The sequence below is a fragment of the Homo sapiens genome, chromosome 20 (genome assembly GCF_000001405.40).
Source record: "Homo sapiens chromosome 20, GRCh38.p14 Primary Assembly".
Classification (NCBI taxonomy): Eukaryota; Metazoa; Chordata; class Mammalia; order Primates; family Hominidae; genus Homo; species Homo sapiens.
Window position 1 is genome coordinate 57,114,122 of NC_000020.11, and position 22,512 is coordinate 57,136,633.

At 49.9% G+C, this 22,512-nt stretch overlaps 1 long non-coding RNA gene across 5 annotated transcripts, besides 1 other annotated feature; it reads right to left on the reverse strand.

The window, feature by feature from the left end:
• Window positions 1–1,302: 1,302 nt before the first annotated feature.
• On the reverse strand, window positions 1,303–21,867 carry LOC105372685 (uncharacterized). Of its 5 annotated transcripts, XR_936901.3 has the most exons (5): window positions 21,711–21,867; window positions 17,874–17,998; window positions 5,720–6,086; window positions 4,920–4,988; window positions 1,303–3,406 (listed from the first exon to the last, which is right to left on the reverse strand). It is a non-coding gene; the product is annotated as an uncharacterized LOC105372685 (long non-coding RNA). The 5 variants fall into 5 exon arrangements; XR_007067759.1 differs by having other exon boundaries at window positions 4,920–6,086; window positions 21,711–21,862; XR_007067760.1 differs by having other exon boundaries at window positions 1,303–3,337; window positions 4,920–6,086; window positions 21,711–21,855.
• Window positions 18,086–18,587: an enhancer, noted in NCBI's record as "H3K4me1 hESC enhancer chr20:55707263-55707764 (GRCh37/hg19 assembly coordinates)". NCBI's record gives its function as "activates a minimal SCP1, AML or CMV promoter by ChIP-STARR-seq in primed H9 embryonic stem cells {active_cell/tissue: H9 hESC(primed)}" and the evidence as "EXISTENCE:reporter gene assay evidence [ECO:0000049][PMID:30033119]".
• Window positions 21,868–22,512: the final 645 nt, after the last annotated feature.

The window sequence follows — 22,512 nt, forward strand, 5'->3', positions numbered from 1 at the left end:
ATTGTTGTTTGTATTGCTAGGGGTGGCCCTGGCAGTATTGGTGGTGTTGATGGGGGTGGCCCTGGCAGTATTGGTGGTGTTGATGGTGGTGGTGGTATTTGTGATGTTAGTGTTTGTGGTAGTGTTGTTTGTATTGTGGGTGGTGGTCCTGGTGATGTTTATGTGGTTGCTGTTGATGGTGGTAGTGGTGGCACTGGTGGTGGTGGTGATGGTGGTGACGTGTGGCTCCACAGGACCCACTGAAAGGCAAGGATCAGCCTGGCTGCAAACTGAGTTAGCATCTGACTCAGTTGCTTGCTCCTGGCCTGGAGCTTCTGGGGTTTCTGATCCCTTCACTGCAATCCATGAATCTCTCCCAGCAGGTATGACAGCCTGACCCAGGGGCTCTGGGAAAGAGGGGTTTTCATCCTACATGAGAAAGAACCACACCACCCTCCAAGGGAAAAAGCAGTCACTGGCAGGCCTCAAGGTGCGATTCGCAGTCTCCTGGGTTTCTGGGGCCATTTGTCCTGGTCCTGCTCGGCTCTCTGCCCATCCCTGCTGTGTAAACAGCACTCTCTCTCAGAAGGTCTTAGCTTTGCTTCCCTAAACACCCTGGACCTGTGATCAGGACTGCCACCTTCTGCCCTGAAGGTAAAAGTGATCCAGCCAGGGGGAGGAGGGGCCTGAGGAGCCAGGTGCAGGAGGTCAGGGGTCAGGGGTTAGGACAGTGGTACCGGCCAGGAGGTGCCTCCGGGCCAGCTGGGCTCCATCACACAGGCACTGCCCCCTCCCCCAGCCCTGCCCCAGAGTTGAGGGAAGGGAAGACAGGGGAACTAGAAAGAAAGCACGAGGACCAGCCAGCTGGGAGAGGCCAGGTCTGTGGAGCACCTGCTCTGTGCGCAGCAGCTGCTGCCTCAGGTGGAGTCTGTGGTTCCCATGGTTCCTAGAGTGAGGACTCATCCTGCCAGATGGAGGGCTCTGGGTTCTGCTGAGCACCTTCAGGAGTTCAGGTGAGAGGCTGTGGGACTTGAGCTGGGGAGAGCTGCATTCCTTTATGGAACATCATAAGGTGAAGAATCTGGAGCTGGGGGAGCAGTGGGGGCAGGAGGGGTGGGAGCCAAGATGGAGGAGACTGGAGGGAAGGGCAGGCGCTGACCAAGCCAAGCCACAGGCTCTGACAGCTGCGTCATCTAGTCCCAAAGGCACAGACCCCAGAACCCCTGCATAGCTCCTGTGGGCCACCCAGGAAACCCAAATGGGCTCTTACAAAACATTGTCTTAGTCTGTTCAGGATGCTATAACCGAACACCACAGACTGGATGGCTTACAAACAACAGAACTTTATTGCTCATCATTCCGGAGGTTGGGAAGTCCAGGATTAAGGCACCAGCAGATTGGGTGTCTGCTGAGTGTGTCCCTCCTGGTTCTTGGGTGGCGCCGTCCTCCCACAGACGCAGGAACAAGGGAGCTCTCTTTGCTCTGGCTTTATATAACGGCACTCATCCCATCTATGAGAGCCCCACCCTCCATGACCTAATCACCTCCCAAAGGCTTCTCTTCCTGATTCCATCACAGTAGGGGTGAGGACTTCAACCTAGGAATTTTGGAGGGACCCAAATATATGCACATTTAAATTCTCATAGAGAACTCATACACACTTCTTAACAGTCCCAGAGAAGCCCCACCCTGAGTCAGGCACACGCATCAGACCCAGAATGAAATGCAATGCTGTATTTCCCTAACTCCATCCATAGCTTCCTTGAATCACTCTTCATCCAGACAGCAGCTTCCCATCCACCGGGGCTGTTCCCATCAGAGGTTGCAGCAAGGTTTCCAGAGGGCCTTGCCGGCTGCAGCAGTGGAGACTGGGGACACACCTGTCTGCCAGTCACCTGCGCTGCAGGCCACTATCCACTGAGATGGACCACATCCTGCCCATCCTTGAGAGATTCACAAAGACATCATCCAGTCCATCCCCTCCCGCATTCCCAGGCTCCAGGTGTCTCCAAGTCTGCCTTTACTTCGGGGACTTCTGAGCATCCCTGGACACAGGGGTGGGGTAGGGGAAGAGGCTGCTCCACTCCCCACTCAGGGCTGGAGAAACTCACAAAGCAGAGGCAAGCTCTCTGCTCAGATGCAGACACGACGCGAACCAGCCATGTCTCCTCTGTCGCCGGAACGCAGCTCATGGCTCTGCCCTTGAGCTCCTACCGCTCCAGGCCTCTCTGATTTGTTCGTGCATTGGGGACCTTCCATGAAACTGACCCAGGAAGGGCAGAACATGAAACCCCTTCTCAAAAGCTGCCCACCATCCAACCTCTGGCTTCTCTTCCTCTCTCTCCCAGCCCAGGACGTTTTACCTCCTCTAGAGAGGAGAAGAGGACCCTGGCTCGTTCACCACTTATTCCTTATACATTGACTTCTTTAGGGATGAAAGCTTTGAAAAATTATGTTTTGGAGGATTTTTTGCAAGTGATTTGATTTACAATGCCGACATTTTAGAAGGTCAATAAGCAAAAGTGGTTTTCTCATAACTGGATGAATACTGCTTTACAAAAAAACGAAAAGAAAGTCAAAGCCACTGCTTTGCATGCAAACCCCAGACGTAGCTGTGTTTACCCAGAACAAAATAAAAGGACTTTTGATTAAACTGGTAGAAACTCACCATAGGTTTTGAATTCATACTTGAAAATCATACCCAGTGGGGCTGACATTTTGTTAAATCCATGCTCACAGCAGCTTGGTCCAGAGGGCGACTGGTCTAAACCAACATCTCCGTTCATGGTTCCATTCTTGCAATTCCTTAGCCTAAAAACCGGAAGTCATTCCTGAGGGTCTCTTTCACTACGCTGCTATCCAATTCATTAGCAAATCCCGCCAGGTCTTCCTTCAAACTACACCCCTCCGCGTGCATCTGCTCTCTGGAAATGCCACTCGATGGTAGCGAAGCTGCTGGCTCCATCCAGACGGCTTTCTCCACAATTGTTTTGTGTCCTTCCCTTTTGTATCAGTTGTGGTGTTGGCTGTAAGTGACAAGGACCTTGATCTGGCTGAAGGAAAGAGTGTTGGCTCCTGAGACTGGAAAGCTGAGGGTAAGTCTGACGGGCGCGGCGGGATTGGGAACTCACGGCATCAACATCCTCTCTCCGTGTCTTAGGCCCACTCTCCACCAGGTTGCTTCTCTCCCAGACTCTTCCCTCATGGGAACAAAATGCCTGCCAGCAATGCCAGATGTACATCCCCTCAAGCTCCCACAGGACAACAGGGCGGGCAGCATCCACTTCCCACAGCCAATAGCCCTGGGCCAGGATCACGTGACCGGCTGATAGGCTCAGGTCTCAGTCATGAGTTCCACCTTTAAGGAAGGTGGGGGCAGAAAATAAGTTTCCCTCAAGCCCTGTGCCTGGGATTGGGGATGGTGGCTCTGCAGAAGGAAGGCAAGATGCACTGACCAGAGGAGGGCACATGGAGGCCAGGAGACTGAACAGCAGGCGGCCACCTCACCTGTTGCACTGCCCACCCGCTACCTAAGCCCTGCCCGCCCCACCCGCATCTAAGCCCCACCCACTCTCCCACACCTGCAGCACTGCCCAACCCACCCCATCAAAACACCGCCCACCCACCCCATCAAAGCACCGCCCACCCACCCCACCTAAGCACTGCCCACCCCACCCCATCAAAGCACCGCCCACCCCCACCCCATCAAAGCACCGCCCACCCCCACCTAAGCACCGCCCACTCTCCCGCACCTGCAGCACCGCCCACCCCACCCCACCAAAGCGCTGCCCACCCCCGCCCCATCAAAGCAACGCCCACCCACCCCACCTAAGCACTGCCCACCCCACCCCATTAAAGCACCGCCCACCCCACCCCATCAAAGCACCGCCCACCCCCACCTAAGCACCGCCCACTCTCCCACACCTGCAGCATCGCCCACCCCAGCCCACCTAAGCACTGCCCACCCCACCTGAGCACCACCCACCCTACACCTGCAGCACCTCCCACCCCACCCCACCAAAGCACTGCCCACCCCCACCTAAGCACTGCCCACCCAACCCCATCAAATCACCGCCCACCCCACCTAAGCACCGCCCACCCCACTACACCTGCAGCACCGCCCACCCCACCTAAGCACCGCCCACCCCCGCCCCATCAAAGCACCGCCCACCCCACCCCACCTAAGCACCGCCCACCCCCACCTAAGCACCACCCACCCCACCCCACCCCACCTAAGCACCGCTCACCCCACTACACCCGCAGCACTGCCCGCCTCACAGAGCAGGGCCCCACCTGCCTCAGAGTAAGAAACCAGCAGCTCCACCACCCCTGGAGGCTGCCTTGGCGCAGCACTGGAAACATTCATAAGAACACAGCTGCCTTTTCCGAGATTCAGAGGTTGCTCTGGTGCCTGTCACCTGCCCAGGAATCCTGCTTTCCAGCAAAGGTGCCTGTAATTCTAACTTTTAAAGAATGTCTCAGGGCCGGGCGCGGTGGCTCACACCTGTAATCCCGGCACTTTGGGAGGCCGAGGTGGGCGGATCACAAGGTCAGGAGATCGAGACCATCCTGGCTATCACAGTGAAACCCTGTCTCTACTAAAAATACAAAAAATTAGCCAGGCGTGGCGGCATGTGCCTGTAGTCCCAGCTACTCCAGAGGCTGAGGCAGGAGAATCTCTTGAACCCGGGAGGCAGAGGTTACAGTGAGCAGAGATCATGCCACTGCACTCCAACCTAGGTGACAGAGTGAGACTCCGTCTCAAAAAAAAAAAGAACAAGAAAAAGAAAAAAGTCTTGGGATTAACAGGGAAAAAAACAGTGACCAGGACCAACGGCTAAAATACATCTCCCCCAACTATTCTGTACATCCACCCAGCAGGAAAAATGATGCTTCTGAAATAATAATTTCTCATTTCCTGGGGCTCTAATAAAACCTACCTTAGACAGCAGTAGCTTCTCTGTTCAAAGAGACGCTGGCAAGTGGTCCATGTTGTTTTCTTCTACGACCTTGTGTGGAGGCAGGAGAAAGATGAGATGGCAAAGTCTAAGGGATTTCATCATCACAAGGATCTTCTCTCTCTCCCTTTTTCCTTCTTTCTTGGAGTACTTGATCTCTCTCAGTTATTACTTATAAATTAGGGATTTTAATCAGTTTTATGAAATCATTTTGAGGATTAAACGATCTTTTCAATGGAAAATACTGAGGTCACCGCCTGATGTGTAGTATGTGCCCAGTAAATAGTAGGGTTAAAAAAAATCAGTATCTGGCCGGGTGCAGTGGCTTACAGCTGTAATCCTAGCACCTTGGGAGGCCGAGGCAGTCAGACTGCCAGAGCTTGGGAGTTCAAGACCAGCCTGGCCAACATGGTGAAACCTTGTTTTCACTAAAATATGAAAAATGAGTTGGGTATGGTGGCATGCACCTGTAGTCCCAGCTACTCGGGAGGCTGAGGCATGAGAACTGTGTGAAACCAGGAGGCAGACGTTGTAGTGAGCCAAGATCGCCCCACTGCACTCCAGCCTGGGCAACAGAGCGAGACTCTGTCTCCAGAAAAAAAATCAGTATCATGGTGAGAGCAAGAATTGTTAATGTGGAAATGTTCCTGCCCCAACTGCACCCTGACCTCCCCAAACTAATTCAAAATGACGTGTTTGCCAGATATTTTAGAACAAAAAACTGGAGAATGGAACAAGAGAGACAAGATCAGAAAGATGGGCCCAAAGCGGCTCTAACCCACCTAGGGAAGCTGTCACTCTCCATATGAAGAGAGTGGGGAAGTAAGGAGTGAATCTGGCACTGCTGGAGGTGGGTGGGTGTGAGGCTCACGATCAGCTGTGGGTACAGGGGTTGGGAGGGGAGGACAGGGAACTTGAGGAGCGAGGTTACGGGTTGTGATGTAGATACTCGTTGATACTGTCTTCGAGATGCCAGTGAATGCTGCAATAGTTGCTGGACGGTGCTTCTTTATACGAGACCCTGTTCAGAGACTGGGACCTGTGGGGCCCCAGCTTTTCCCAGGGCACACTGCTGGTTCCCTCTGGGGTGCAGGGAGCAGAGGTGCATGCAGGTTCTCTCAGATGATGAGAGTTTGTTTCAGGAAAACCCTGGGAAGCAAGGAAGACAGAAAACAGCTTAAAAGGCCAGCATCCTAAAAGGGGGCTCCCTGGAGATCCTGGGACTCCACAGAACTGGCGGCACTTTCCTGCTGGAGCCGGGCATGTCCTCTCCCCACTCACTGGACACTCACCATTGTGAGTCAGCCCCAGACCCCCTCTTAAGTGCTCCTTTGTGGGCTCCCTAAGGGAGTCGGCCTAACTGCTTGGCCATCACCACCAGCACTGCATGTCCCTGGTGGCATTGCTGTCCTGGCCAAGCCATAGATGGCTTCTCTGGAGGTAAGCATCTAACCCTGCCGTGGGTGCCATAATGTGCCACCCAGATCCTCCCTCAGATCTGAGGCACATTCCCCAGGCTGCTGGGGGTGTTGATGGCTGATCATTCTAGCAGAATCCTTCTCCAGGAATTGTCTTCAGGTTCTGACAGCCACCTGCCTCAAAGTCAGGCCCCTTCCTGGGGTGGCCCATGTGCAATGAATGGTCAAGGAAAAAGCAGAAAAGTCCAGGCCCCATTTTCCCCTATTCATGACCTTCCTGAAGGGCCATCTTGACTCCAGACTTCCGTGAGTTAGCTGAGGTCTTGGCTGTGACATCTCTAAAGCCCAGCTTCTCCCTCCCTGCACACGTTCATCCTGGAAACACTCCCCAGTGACCTTCCTTCACACCAATTTCACCTCCTAATCTGCTTCCTTAGAAACCCATCTATAACAATCCCTAGGCCAGGTAGCTGTGAGAGAGGCATAGGCCTAGAGTTGCCAGATTTCATTAATAAAAATATAGGATGGCCAACAAATGTTAATTGCAGACCAACAACAAATAATATCTTAGTGTAAATATGCCCCATGCCATATTTGGGAATATTAATACTCAAATATTATTTGTTGTTGACGTGAAGTTCAAATCTAACTGGGCATTCTGTATTTTATCTGCGAACCCCAGAAGGATCATGGAGTAGAGAATATAGGATCTAGGTCCAAATGGGCCTATGGCCACGGCAGACATTCGGAGCATCACAGGCTCCTGTTACACACGAGCTCAGCTCGGATTTCTCCTGTAAGAAATAAAACAACTCAAATGTGATGCTATTTTTTTGTTTAAAAGAATAATAAAAATAAAAACTACCATGTATTGAGGACCAACTCAATTCCAGACCATGTGCTAAGTATTTCAAAGCTGTTAATCCATTGTTGACCCATTCAATCGTCACAACTTTTTGAGGTAAGCGTATATCAGTTAGCATCAAGTCCAATAAGAGTCACAGAAAACCCAAACTATCTGTGGTTTAAAGAAAATTTAGAAGTTCAGAGGTAAGCAATGCAAGGCTGGGATTGGGAAACTCCAACCCTTTCCTCATGTTTAACCCTGTGTGGTCTATGTTCTCAGGGTCACCCACATGGTCCAAGATGGCTGCTGGAGATCCAGCCATTACACAAAACTCCAGTCAGCAAGAAGGAAGAAGCAACAAAGAAGGACATCACCCCCCTCCCCTTTAAGGACACTTTCTAGAAATTATAAGAGCACATGTTTATGCCCCTTTTGACAGAACTCAGTCACATACATGATCTGGGTGCAAGAAAAAATGCAAAATGTGATTTTTTTTTTTTTTTTGGAGACAGAGTCTTGCTCTGTTGCCCAGGCTGGAATGCAGTGGCACGATCTCGGCTCACTGCAACATCCACCTCCTGGGTTCAAGCGATTCACCTTTCTCAGCCTCCCAAGTAGTTGGGATTATAGGCGCTTGCCACCATGCCAGGCTAATTTTTGTATTTTTAGTAGAGACGGGGTTTCGCCATGTTGGCCAGGCTGGCCTCGAACTCCTGATCTCAGGTGATCCACCCACCTCAGCCTCCCAAAGTGCTGGGATTACAAGTGTGAGCCACCATGCCCAGCCTGCAAAATGTGATTTTTTATTCCAGTTTGTCACAGGTCCAAGTAAGAATCAGAGTTTTTCTTGCTAAGGAAGAAGGGGAGATGCATAGTGAGGGACAATGATCAGATTTTGCCACAAATAGATGCTATTCTTGTTATCCTTGCTTTTAGATAAAATTGAGGCTCAGAAAGATTAAATACCTTACCTAGGGTCATGCAACTCCCAGCCTGCCCCTACAGCCTGTGCCTGCAATAACCACTATCATATAATTCCATTTAATTAGATTTCAGAGATGCCAATTACCTAAGGAGGGTCCAATGACAGGCAAATTCTATTTTTTAAAAAAATCTAACATTCAAACAAATTGAGCATTCAGACATCACAACTTTGTCAAAAACCCTAACGATCACAGCAAATGTAGAAAAACACAGGAGAAAAAATGTTTAAACTATACACACAGAGGTATGAAAGAGAAGCAAGACCAGCTTTTGCACAGATCAACAGTCCTTCCAGAGAAGAAAAAGCCCATCACATGTTCCGGAAGCCAATTTAACTAGGATGATCACAAAGAAGAAACAAGGGAGTGTACCAAGTGGCAACGCAGCCACAGGGTGGGGAAGTCATGCTTGAAATCACTAAGAATAAAAGTTTGAGCACTGGGGCCTGAGTGAATATTAAATGGGCTCTGTGGGTTTAAGTAATACAACTCAACAACACCCTGCAATAACTTTGAACTCTTGGATCTTGGGGAAATGGCCTGGGGAATGAGAAAATTCTCCAAGAGAAATATTATTTGTATTCCATGGTTGTAAAAGTTAATAGCCCTCCCCCATTCCAAACCATGGCATCCCAAACCAGAGGAAGGGAAATTTGAAACATGTAATTTAGAAGCTGGGCTACAAGGAGGAGAGCCTGACCCCCAAGCTAAAGCTGCCTGGGGCTTTATTTACACAGGTCTAGAAGCTGAGTGGCTCTAACTGTTGGGAAAATCTTTCTGAAATTCCACAATTTGGTTTACCTTCCCCCTGCTAGGATGAGGTTGCTCACAAAATCATGGTTTCATAGAATGCAAAAATTAAAAGAGAGCTTAGCGATCATCTAAGGCTCAGATTTAGCTGGGTCTCATCTTGAAGGAACTCCCTTAACTGGGAATAGCTGCCTGGGTCACAGCACAATGCAAGTGTGTGGAGCTGAGGCTGGATTGAGTGGGACGGAATGCTTCATTGTGATTGATTAGTCATGTCTGCTTCAGGCACAGAATGATAGGCGAAGCATATGCATCGAATGTTTTTTCACTGTAAACTTGGTGAAACCCTTCATTTTACAGAGGAAGTAAGTGAGGCTCTCTGAGCGAAAGCAAATTGCTCTAAGCCTTTTTGGTAGCTGAGTGAGAATGACAAGTCAGTTCTCTTCAGTTCTCATCCTGTCTTCCTTTTACCATTAGCTTCTGTGGCTGGCAACTAGAATTTTCGCAAGAGTAATTCCTAACAGCCATTCATGCTCCACTCAAACAGAAAGACCTGCCCTTTTAAGGGAATTCATTTCCACTTTCCTTGATTCCCATTCAGGTCTGAGTGTGGCACAATTGGAGGTAGTAGTTTAATTTTGGTAGTCGACATCCTCGGTTGGACAACAGTAAGGGTAACCCTGTGTGCTGCTATAACAAATAATCCCTAAACCACAGTGGCTTAACACTGAATGCTGGGTAAAGAATGGCCCCTCGCAGGTGACCAGGTCCTAATTTCCAGAACCTATATAATACTTTACATGGTAAAAGGGACTTTGCAGATGTGATTAAAGATATTGGGATAGACAGATTAACTGGACCTCTTATAACGGTTTTTCTAAGAAGGAGGCAGAAGAAGAAGGAGATAAGATGACAGAGCACAGACAGGGGCAGAGAGAGATCTGAAGATGCTGCACTCCCGGCTTTGAAGACAGAGGAAGGAGCCAGGAAAGGCAGGTGGCCTCTAGAAGATGGAAAAGGCAAGGAAACGGATTCTTCCTCCAGCCTCTAGAAGGGAATACAGTCCTGGTGAGACCTTGACTTTAGGCCTTCTGACCTCCAGAACTATAAGATAATACATTTTTGATGTTTAAGACCACCGAGTTTGTGGTAATGTGTACAGCAGAAACTGGAAATTAACATACACAGTAAAAGTTTACTTCCTGCCCCTCTCACAATCTAACAAAGTGAGACCATCTCCCAAGTCACGACTGGGGCTAGGCCCCTACCATCATCAGGCTCTAGGGGTCCCAGGGCCTCCAGCCAACCAAAGCTCAGACAGAAGAGGTGAGGGCAGAGATCCTGCAGGAGGCTCCAAGTGCCAGGCTTCGAAGTGACTTCCACCCACCCTTCGTCTGGCAAACCCATCCCACCGCACCACTGAGCTGCAAGTGTCTCCTGGGAGCCCAAGAGGAGTATCAGATGGTTTGAGAAACACACGGCATCTGTCTCTCCACTCATCCCCTTTCCTCTTCTTGCCATCACTTCCTCCCCCAATTCTTTAGTCCTCAAGAGTCAAGCAAACCTGGCTCTGATCCCAGCTTGCTACTCAATAGCCGCAAGCAACTAACTGGACCTCTCTGACCCACTGCATCGTTATCTATAAAATGAGGAAGGGGGTAAACAATTGTTATCATAACTGTGAATAGATTATACCATTATTATAGGCATATTTTTATATAGGTCTAAGAGTTAGGTGATAGAGCATAAAATGAAAACACTTTTCCAGAGGTTCTTAGCCTGGGGACATCCTCAGAATTGCACGTGGACTTTTAACAACCACACATAAGGGGCCTCCACAGGTGGCGGCTGCCACATGGGATGATTCCGCAGCTGGATCATGACTGCTCAGTTCAAAGGCAACATACCGGGAACCTAATACTGGCTCTCAAGACAGGACGCAGCATCAGTCACTTAAGAAGCTGCATCGCCCTCCCCAGGAATATTTACATTGTAAATTTGAGCTCCAACCGCAAAAACATCCTGCTAAGTGAAAGAAGCCAGACACAAAAGGCCACAGAGTGTATAATTCCATTTATAGGAGATACTCAGAGTGGGTCACCTCGTGCAGACAGAAAGCAGATTCGTGGTTACCAGGGGCTGGGGCAGAGGGAAGTGGGAAAGACTTTTTAACAGGTATGGGGTTTCCCTTCGAGGGATGAAAATGTTTGCAGCTACAGGTGATGGCTGCACAACAGTGAACACACGAAGTGCCACTGAAGTTCACGCCTCCAAATGGTTGATTTTACATTATGTGAATTTCACCTCAATTTTGTTTTTAAAAAGCAACATCTCTGCTTCAGGGACATATTTAAAGGCCAGCATAGCCCCAGTTGGCCTGAAATCAAATCTCAATCCTTTGCCTATATATCAAATTGTTCCTGTGTCAACCTAAGGCCCCTACACAGTAACTGAGACACAAGGACAGTCTTCCCCGGCTGCTGGGGGTGTCAGTGACCAAGGCCTTTGGCTGACAAAAGCCGTATCCCCAACATCACACCCTGTCCCAGGAGGTGGTGACCTTGTGCCCATTGACAGGTTATGGGGTAGGGAGGCCTGGTCTCTTGCTCAAGGCAGGACACCTCTGCAGGAGCACAGGACCCGGTTGAGGCCCTTGCGGTCACCACATCCCCATCCATCCCCATCCGCATCCTCTGTCCACCTTGCTGACGTCCCCACCCCACTGATCCCAAAGCTCTTCCCCCAGCAACCTCTGCAGCAAATCTCCCTCTGAGATTTGCCGGGACACCCAACCTAAGATGCCTGCCCAAGATGAGTTCTGCTGTCAAGTTCTACAGCAGTGGTTTCAACCAGGCAGCAATGTCTCCCACAAGGGATGGAGCTCCATGAGACGTTTTTGTTTATCAGGACTTGGGGGGTGCAGGTGCTACCAGCGTCTAGCAGGTAGAGGCTGGGACACAGCTAAATATCCTATAATGCCCAGGAAAGCCTCACTGCCACAAAGAATGATCCAGCCCAAAATAGCAGTGGGGAGGTTGAGAAACCCTGTTCTAGAACAGAAGCTCCTTGAAGACAGGGTTTTTTTTTTTTCTTTCTGTCACACGTCCAGCACATAGTAGCTGTTCAATCCATACTTGCAGAATAAATGAGTGAGGGACTGAATGTGAAAACCCACCAGGGCACCTCCACCTCTCCTCAGGTGACGTCTCCTCAGAACAGACTTCACTGAGGCTTCCATACTCTGCCTCCTCTTCCCCCGAGGACTTAAGGCTTTCTGTGGTCTGGCTCCTGCCTGCCATTTGGCCTCATTTCTTAGCATCCTCCTCCTTGCTCACAGTCGTACAGTTTTCTTGGCCTTCTTGGGTCCTCAAATACACAAGCTCACTCAGCAACTTAAGGGCATCAATCATGGGGTCCCTGCATCTCAGTTTCTTGCAGGGCAGGCTCCTTACCTGATGGTCTTTCTAAAATAAATCCTGTGGCCCTTCTGGTTGCTCTTACCACATCCTGTTTGTTTCCTGCACGGCCCTTGCTATCACGCAAAACGACCTTTGCTTGGTTGCGCATTGTTTGTTCTCCGTCTTGTCTCCTGGGAAGATGCCACGATGCAGTTTTTCTCCACTTTGCTCTGTACTGTGGAATTATCTGTTGACTGGATGAATACAGGAATTGGCAGAACAACTGGTACCCTGGACTTGTGATAACGGGGGCCCAGTGAACTGGGCCTCATGGAGGTTCAGGACCCGTTGAAAGAAAGAAGGAAGGGTGGGCCTGCTGGGGAGAGGGGCCGCCACATGCGCACTGGCGTCTGCTAACAAGGGCAAGTGTGGACGAACTCCTGGGGGCTGAGTCATCTCTTTCTCTGTAGCTGTGCGGGAGGCAGATGCCTTCAGGCTGGGCAGGAGAGAGGAGGCCCAGAATTTTGTGCTGGGAAGTTCGAGGCAGAGCACGGGCAGAATTTGTTGTCACAGGGAGATGTCAGCCCCACGCCCCCCATGTCAAAGGACTCTTAATTACGCTGCCAAAAGCAAGGCTCAGTGCTAACCTGTGACCCCAAAGGTGTTTATATTTCCCTCCAACATTCTCTTTTGATCATCCCCCTAGAGTCAAAAGTATCCCAAGTCTTGAAGATAAACTGTTAGTTTTATGGGGTCGCTTTTACTCCTACCAGAAAATAAGACAAATGCACCGCACGGTGTTTGAGGGAAGCCATTTGCATTTCCCTGCCTCTCTCCTGCTTTGTCCGCTACCTTCTGCACTGGTGGAGGCTCCTCTCACCACCTGCACAAGGCTGTCCTGCTCTTTGCTGCCTGCTTCTTATCCAGATTTTACCCAAACTGAAACAAAAGGAAGCAAGATGAGATCTACGTGCAGTCACCCTCACCTGCTGGCAGGGGACAGAAGCAAATAGTTCTTTTCAAGTTAGCAACGAACTTTCAGAAATCTGTAAGATGTGGCTCTCAAAAAAGGTACTGGTGAAAAACCTCTTCTTAACAGAGATGAAAACCTGATATAACTGAATGTGGAACGGCAGGGGATGGTACCATCCTCCGGGATCATCCATTATGAGGCCACGCTCTGCAGCTGTAACAATGGATATTAGGAAAGTGTACTCATTGATCTGGAAAGAGGTTGGTTTTCCATCCAAAGGGAGGTGGCAGATAAATTAGTGAACAGGACTCTAGCAGATGCTGTGGGGGCCCTGTCCTTACCCCCTTGGCCTTCACTTTTCCCGGGTATTAGAACGCAATAGCTCCCAGTGCCAGGACATGCTAGTGCTCCCCAGAAGTACTCAGGGCAGAGGGGTTAACACTCTCCTGGGAGCAGCCCTCAGGCAATGATTAATGGTAGGAGTGAATGCACTGTTCATCTCCTCAAGGGCTAACTCCCAGGCACCTCCTGAACCACCTATGGGAAGCCCCCAGTGAAACTGACCCCCAGGTGCCCACAGAAGAAACCTGCTCCCTTCTGTCTGCCCAGCTAATCCTTCTTGGAATCAGTTCCCAATTCACTCACTTGCCACCCTGGGGGTTAGAGGCTATAGAAAGGGGCAGGAGTTTGCCATTCCTGATACAGGAATGATAAGCACAGAGAGGACATGGGGCGTTACACGTGGGCTGCCAGCCACACAGTGGAGGCAGTGCCTGTGCTTAGGAATCTGAATGTTAAGTACGCATTCCTGCCCGGAGAGATTCCCGTGCTCAACCAGCAATGGAGCCTCCGCCAAGCCCACGCCACCGAGACCATGGAGCTCAGACATCAGCCTGCTGCGAAGTCATCTGGGGAGCATGTTAAGAGGCTTGGATCTGGACCTTACCCAGAAAGTGGGACCCAGCAGGCATGTAGTGGGCCCAGGAATAGGCATATTACACAAGGACCCCAAGCAGTTCTGAGTTACAGGGTGAGAAACACTGGACTGGCAGAGTGGCAGTGTCTAGTGTCCACTAGACAGAGGCTGCTCTCTAAAGAGAGCACATGCTTGTATTCCTGACGGTGGCCAAGGATTACCCATGTGATCTCCCCTCGGCTGCCCAGAGCAGGGGAAGGAGAAATGCTGCCTGTGTTTGTTTCCTAATGCTGCTGTAAGAAATTATTACCAACGTGATGGGCTTAAACCCACAGCCGTTTATTGCCGATAAGCTGATGCCCCTTCTGTAGGTGAGAAGTCCCAGTGGACTCAGTGAGGTCTCGGCCTTGGATCTCACAAGGCTGAGATCTAGGTGTCGGCAGGGCTGAGCTCCTTCCTGGAGGCTCTGGGGAGGAATCCAGAGCTGGAATTCCAGGCTGATTCAGTGGCTGGCTGGATTCAGTTCCTTGTGTGTGAAGGACTGAGGTCCCCGCTCCTCGCTGGCTGTGAGCCCGGACAGGCTCTGAGAAGCTGCTGCGGTCCTGTCTGCGCTTTACATGTGCCTCCTCCAGCAATGGTTAGTTGAGTCCCTCTCATGCCATGAATGTGACGTCTCCTGCCACATCTAACTTTGGCCAGAGAAAGTTCTCTGCTTTTAAGGGCTCATGGGATTACATTGGGTTTACCTGGAAAATCCAAGATAATCCCCTACTGTAACATCCCCAACCTTAGTCACATCTGCAGAGTCCCTTTTGTTATGTAAAATTACATACTCTCGGGCTCCAAGGATTAGGGTGCGGACATTTTTGAGGGGACATTCTGCATACAACAATGCTGTATCACAAACAAAGCCACCAGATTTCTGGTCTTCTTGCAAATGATTCTTTGCTTCAGGGATTATGTATCTGTAGGCCCGAGACGGAGAAGGCAGGAGGCAGAAGAGTTGGGCCTGCGTGGAATTGAGAGCAAAGATCTTCCTCCATAAGATCAAGGTGTGGGAGGAGAAGGGCCTTCCTTGTTTTTCTTCTCAGAATGCTGTCATTTAAGGCTGCTCTACTCAGAGCCTTGGCAGTCATCTGGCCACCATGATACAGGGCCAAGCACAAAGGATGGCAGGCCAGGAGTCCAGGGGGAGGTCATTGCTGACTTAGTTAAGGGAGCCAGGCGTGGTGGCTCACGCATGTAATCCCAGCACTTTGGGAGGCTGAGGCAGGCGGATCACCAGAGATCAGGAGTTCGAGACCAGCCTGGCCAACATGGTGGAACCCCGTCTCTACTAAACACACACACACACACGCGCACACACACACACACAAAATTAGCCAGGCGTGGTGGCACATGCCTGTAATCCCAGCTACACAAGAGGCTGAGGCAGGAGAATCTCTGGAACCTGGGACGTGGAGATTGCAGTGAGCCAAGATCTCGCCCCTGCACTCCAGCCTGGGTGACAGAGCGAGACTGCGTCTTCAGAAAAAAAAAAAAGTCCTGGAACCATCTATCTCCACTATCTCCAGACTTCCTGTTGATGAGATTATCAAATCTCTACTATTTAAGCGAAGTTTAGATGAATGTTCTGTTCCTCACTGATGGAAGCATTCCTAACAGATTCGTGTGATGTTTGCAATAGTTTGGAATATTGTTCAACACACAGTCACTCCCCTCTCCTTTGCATAATGAGCAGAATATGCCTCTTATCCTGTTTATGGTGGGCTTGGCAAAGTGACTTGCTTTGGCCAATGAACAGCAATGGATGTGACACATGCAGAGGCCTTCGAAGTCCTTGCAGGTTTGGGCTCTACTCTTGTGCCCCAGTGATCTGCCATGAGGAGAATACGCCCAGGATAAGCTGCTGCCCCTTCAGCCTGGGCCCCAGAACAAACACATGTGCGGCTGCATGAGCCCAACCTGTGTCCTATAACCAAGGCCAGCGGACCCTGAGCCTGAAGCAGAGACCTCCAGCAGGGCCCCGCTTAGATCACCTGCATCATGATCAACCGCTGTCACTGTTCCAAGAAACCGAGCTTAGTAACGGTGTGTTATGCAACATTGTCAATAGCTGACTTGCACAATAGTGAACATGCAAGAGGTCCACACACTCCTGTTCCCCAAGACCCTAAAGTCACGTGGGGGAAAGTGATAGAACTCTACTCTGGGGATCCAAGAGCACAGAAAATCTAGGTCAAGCATTCATAGAATACAGGAGCTGGCAAACTCCCCACATCTCCCTGAGACACAGAGGAGCAGGTACAGAAGAAATGTCTGCCTGGGTGCCTGGAAGCCTCACAGGGTTTCATCGGCTCAGAACGCCCCAGTATCCAATGAAATCTTCCCATGGGCCGGGCTTTTAGGCTGCTCTGGGAGTTGCGGCCAAGCACTCCCGGAGATGCTCTGCTCTCAAGATGCAGAGGGCACAGGTGCGACTGGTGAGAACTGAGGACCACTCCAGAGGGAAGGAGGCAGTTTCCACGGATGTCTGGGTCACCTGGAGAGAATCCAGGCTGACATCACTCGCATGCCTGGGCTATTTGGGTCTCCCCCACCCCCCACCACCCGAACTGGAGCAATACTTAGGGAAAGGGAGAACCCAAATCCGTAAAATTAGGTTTCTGCCACTTGGAACAGGGGCTTGAAAGATAAATTAACTTCCATTAGACTTATATTTCTTGCACACCGTAGACTGCAGACTGAAATTCATGCCCACTGTGGACACAGCGAATGTATTTAGTCCCTGGGTATAGTGGTCAGCTTGCTTCAGTTCTGGGAGTCTCCATTCTCATTGGACTAAACCAGAGTCAGCAAACCAGGGCTGTTTTGCTCAAATCTGGCTCAAATCTGGCCCACTGCCTGTTTTTGTAAATAAAGTTTCACTGGAATAGCCACGCCCCCTTCGTTCACCGCTACAACGACGGGACTGAGTGGATGCGACAGAGACGGTCTGGCCCACAAAGCTGAAAATATCTATTATCTGGCCCTTTGCAAAAAAAGCTTGTCAACCTCTGCACTTTCCCACCTGCTCCAAATCTCAATCTCCCTGCGCTAAGCTCTGCTTTCATTATAGCAACTCAACCAGCGTTGGAGAACGAGGTACACAGCATTCAAGAAACCCAGCCCTCGTGTGGCCCAGGGAGCTCTTCCCCACACACTACAAAATTCTCCAGACGTCCCCCTCCAATGAGCCAAAGAGATGTGACTGCACAGCACTATACCCTCTGCTGCCCGAGATCAATGACTTTTCCTCTTAACTGCTCGCATGGCCTCATCCCTCCTTCCCTGAGACTTCTTCCCAGCTTCCCTCACCCTGGTGCTCCTCAGGAGAGGCCAAAATGAGAAGAGAGGTCTCCGAGTTTGAGTTCCACACAAAACTCTGCTCTGGCCAGACTCCGCCCAGCACCGTGGATGCCAGCAGAAACCCCATGTTTGTCCCCATTAATCACAGGCGGAACCTGCAACTTGAGCCCCGTCCACCCGAAATGAGTGGAAAAAGTGCAACCTGACCACAAAAGTATTATTTTATAAATAAGGCCCTTCAGTAGTGGTTAATTGGATACACATTTTGTAAGATTCAGGGAACATGAAAGCTATCATACTCACATTGACTGGCTGCGTTCCTGTGAGACTGCAGTGGCCATTTTCTGTGCAATGTCAGGCCCCAGGCTGAAAGTCCTAGCTTGGAGACTTTTATTTTTCCCTTAGGGATATTGCTTCTCCACCCCAACCTTTACAAAAAAAAAGAGCAAGATTGATTTAGTGTATGTTTAACGGCTCCATAAATCACTCAACATGCCCCAATGTCATCAAAATTCTGCCAGAAATGATTTCCACTGAAGCAGATGGCCTGTATGGGAAACTAATCTGGCATGCTTTTATTTCCACCGAATTTCCATGAGCTCCTACTGTGTGTCAGCGCACACCTGGCCCTGGAAGAGGCTGAGGGGAGTGCTCCAGTCCATGGCCCTGCATCCCAGAAGAGGGAACGCTGCAGGAGCTGGAAGGAGATGTTCAAGAATACAGGGAATCAGCCTGGAAAACCGTGGGCTGGAAGGCCTGCCCCTGTTTGTCTGAGATGGTTTAAAATTCACACCCTTCTTACGAAGACAGAATAAGAAATCCAAGGCTAATTTTGAATGCTCTCTCCTGCTATGCTTATGCTCTGTGGGTAGTCTGGGGACAGTGATGGGACCTAGCTATGCCTGCTACAGAGAGATGACTGGACAGACGGGTGGCAGGTTGGGGAGGTGGCCTCCCCTCCCCAGCTGGTGCGGGCAAGCTGACAACAGCCCGCACCTGTTGAAGGCTCACCAGGGAGGGCTGAGGGCCTGATCTCCAAATTGAATGGTCAACCTGGACAGCCACACGAGGCCAAGTGTCTGCATTTGCGTGTGACGTAAACCAGCACATACACCAGGGAGAGAGAGCAGCAGGGACTGAGAAATCAGGAGAGCTTCAGAGAGAAGCGGGGTGGAGTTCAGCCGAAGAGAATGAATAGATGGGAGAAAGTGAGAAATCCATTGTGCTTTCATGACCAAAACAACTCTTGGGAGCAACATGTCATTGTTTCTAAGGAGTAACAATAGTAATAATCACAGCTGAAGTGTACTTTAAGAGTCAGTCCATGCCAGGAAGTCCATATGCACTATTATCTCTCTGATCACTCAAAACCATCCTAAGAGGTAGTTACGATTATCACACCTAATTCACAGATGAAAAAACCAAGTCTCTTAAGTTTCTCAACTTTTCCATCAAAATGCTCCAGGAAGCCGAAGAAAAGGAGCCTGTGAGCTGAAGACTCAGAGGAGTTCCCCAAGTCTACCGCCGCAAATGCAAAATTTCTTTGAAGTTCTGTTTTCTATATTCCCTTGTTTTTTTTACCCTCTCCTCTATATCTAATATCAGAATGATGTGCTTAATTGTCTTTGAGTGAAATTTCACAAACTTTCTCCCCTAAAATGCTTCTAATCAAATTACCCTTCCCAGAGGATGAACCTTATTTCTTCTGAGGTTTTTCCGACTCCTTCACCCACTGACTTGGATCCTGAGGCTAAACATGCTCCAGTTTAAGCAGCTCAGGTGGGGAGCAGGGCTTGGACACAGCTGGCCTCTGGCCCCCTGTTTTTGTTTGGCATGCATGGTGTCTTTCAGTTTTCACACACACACACACACACACACACACACACACACACAAATCCAGATTTCCAGATTCTTCTAAAATTGTTTCCACTGTGGCCACAATTGTGTGGCTCTGAGTAGCGACATAGGCTGGGTACAAGACACTAGGGAGTGCTGGGGACTGTGGCAAAACTGCCACCACTCCCTAGAGTCTTATATCTAGCCTATGTCACTCTATATTTCTCTAGACCCTGGAGGTGTTTGAGTATATGCTCTTGTCTTGGAACTCTTGGTGTTTCAGGTACAAAATGCAGAAAAGCCATGGGGTCTCGGTAAGACAGAGAGGGCTCCAATCAAAAGACATCAAGAAGATTCCATTCACAAAATGACCCTGCAGAGCCATGTCAGCACAGAGAGGGGGAAAAAAGAACCCCAGTGATGCTCAGTGAAGCCCTTTTATTTTCCACTCTACCTCTGATGCTGCTCAAAGTGATGAATTAGAGAAGCTCATTTCCTTTGGTTGGAAAAAAAAAAACCCAGAAAACAAAAGAAAAAGCCAGTGTTCAATAAAACGTGGAGGAATGACGCAATGGTGTGCAGAACCCTCAGAGCGGAGCTGTTAATTGCTTCCTTCCCAGGATGCTGGCCGGCCCCTTTCTCAGGGACTCGGATGCATTTGTCAAGGAAAGTATCAGCCCCCCATAACTCTCCAAAATGATACAATACATCACTTGAAAGTAAGCTAGGATCAACACGTTGTTAACTGTTTGATCTCGCAAGTCAGAATTAATGATAGGTATTTTGCACAAAGAGAAAAAAATGAATGTTAAAAGCCTATTTACGTTAACTAAAGACATCCCTGCACCATCAGGGTTGAGTTGGAGGCGATTTCCTGCGGCACAGCTGTTCTACGTTTGTTAGTCTGCGGGTGGGTGGCAGCCCAGTAATCAGAGCCAGACTGAGGGTGTGGGGAGCTGAAGAGATGGGGGGCGGGGGTCAGGAATCTTTACACAGAAAATCCCAGTGACCACCTAGAGAAAGAGGATCCGGGTTAGAGCTCAGAGTGCACTCCTTCAGAGCTTTGGAAAGAGCTGCAGACCAGTTTCTTCATCTGAAAACTAGACTTCATTCATTAATTCTGAAAACGCTTACAGAGTGTGGGCTGAGCACAGGGGGTCCATTGGGGAGCATTAAGGACCAGGTCCTTGCCCTCATGGATCTTACAGTCTAGACAAAAAACTTTAACCAATAAGGAAACAAACAGATTAACAGACAAAACTTCAGGTCATGATAATACTATAAAGAGAACAGGATGGGATGTACCCAAAAGGGACCAGGGATGGGGCCACTTTAGATTGATGGCCAGGGAAGGCCTCTCTAAGGAAGCAACACTGGCCTTGAACCCTGGATGGTGTGAGCCAGGCAAACACTCAGGGGCAGAGTGTTCCAGCAAAGGCTGTGGCCGGTGCAAAGGCCCTGGAGCAGGGACAGGCGTGGAGTGCTCCTGCTACAGCAAGGCAGTCCCTGTGCTGGAACCAAGGGAGGGAGGAGAGTGGTGGCAAAATAGGGACCACAATGTGTACGGCTCTGGGGCCAAAGAGTCTAGCTATTACTCTGAGTGTGAAGGCATCCATTTGAAGATTCTGAGTAGGAGAGTAATGAGATTTAATTTGCGTTTTAAAAATCTCTCTGGCTCTGGATGGAAAATAGATTGTGGGCCAGCATGGGGAGAGGAGTCAAGAGACCAGGTATGGGCTATGGGAGGTGTCCAGGCGGAAAGGAGGATTAAAGTAGATGAGGCCGGCAGCCCAGGGCCAGCACACAGTCAGTCAGGGCTGGCAAGAGGACAGAGCAAGTGAAGCGTTCACCTAGAGTGCAAAATGTAAGATGGGGAGAAGGAACTGCCAAAAAACTCGGTAATCAAAATAAATAAAGACACAATTCGTATTACCGATTTTTCCTTTTGCCTCAGGCTCCAATATGGCTTGACACGGCGCTGCGAATGACCCTGTCTTTCTTTAAAATGCTGATATTTTGTTCATCATGGAATTTTGGGCATTAATTTTGATTTTTAAATGCATTGCATTAAAATATCATTTATCTGGATGACTTTTTGGCACCGCCTTAAATTCTGTGGCTGAGGCAAGTACCTCCCTCGTCATACCCTAATCCTGACTCTGCACTAAGTACTCAGCACCCTACAGCGATTGAGGCCATTGCTGTTGTTTTTTGGCCTCCAAACCCCTAAGTAAATGCGTAGGTGGACACCAGGGGAGGCAGGTGCAAGGTGGGTTCTGCAACCTTCCCGTGTTCCCAGCTGACCTGATTTATGATGAAGGTGGGAATGAACAAAGCCATCTTAGGAGTTTGTCGGTGGCAGATTCTACTCCCACTGAGCTCAAGCTGATGCGAAATTTGTGGGAAGGAGCCTGAGGCATCTCAGAAAATCTCCAGCCCCAGGCTCTGTGTCTGTCAGGGCAAATTCCCCAGGAAGTGCCTCTGATTGGCCCAGTGTGGGTCACATGCTGTCTCTGAGCCAAATCGGCTGTGGCCACCCAGGCAGCGTGGTGGTGCACAAACATGGCTGCCAAGAGGCCCACCCTCTTGGGTGGGACAGTTCTCCCCAAAGAGAGATGTGGGCTGAGGTGGGGAAGGGGTTGTACTCATAATGTTGTCTGTTCGTGCAACAGTATTTCCTGCTGCCAGGGAGCTGGAGTTAGGGTTTAGAAAAGGCTGGGGAAGTTTAGAGGAAGCCGTAGCTGAGTAGCGAAAAGGGGAGTTGAAGAAGCCCTGAACAACATCTTCCCGTCGTCGCCTTCTTGGAAAAGCAAGCCCGCTTCTCCTGTGCGCCTTGCCCGCTCTGACAGTGAGGGAGGCTCCCTCGAGCACCCTTTAATTTCTCGGATTATTCAAATTTGCCATGCCCACCCAAACAAATGGGAGGTTTTCTGGAGAGAACCAGGGTCCATCAGAGGGGGGTATCAAAACCAGCTCAGCTCTCCAGTGTGGGAAATGAGTTTCTAGGCCACCAGACAGCTTCCTACCAAGCACAGAAGGCCCGTCACCTCTCCACATTCAAGTGACGGAAGTGGAGGAGGAATGAACCACAGGAAAGCAGAACAAG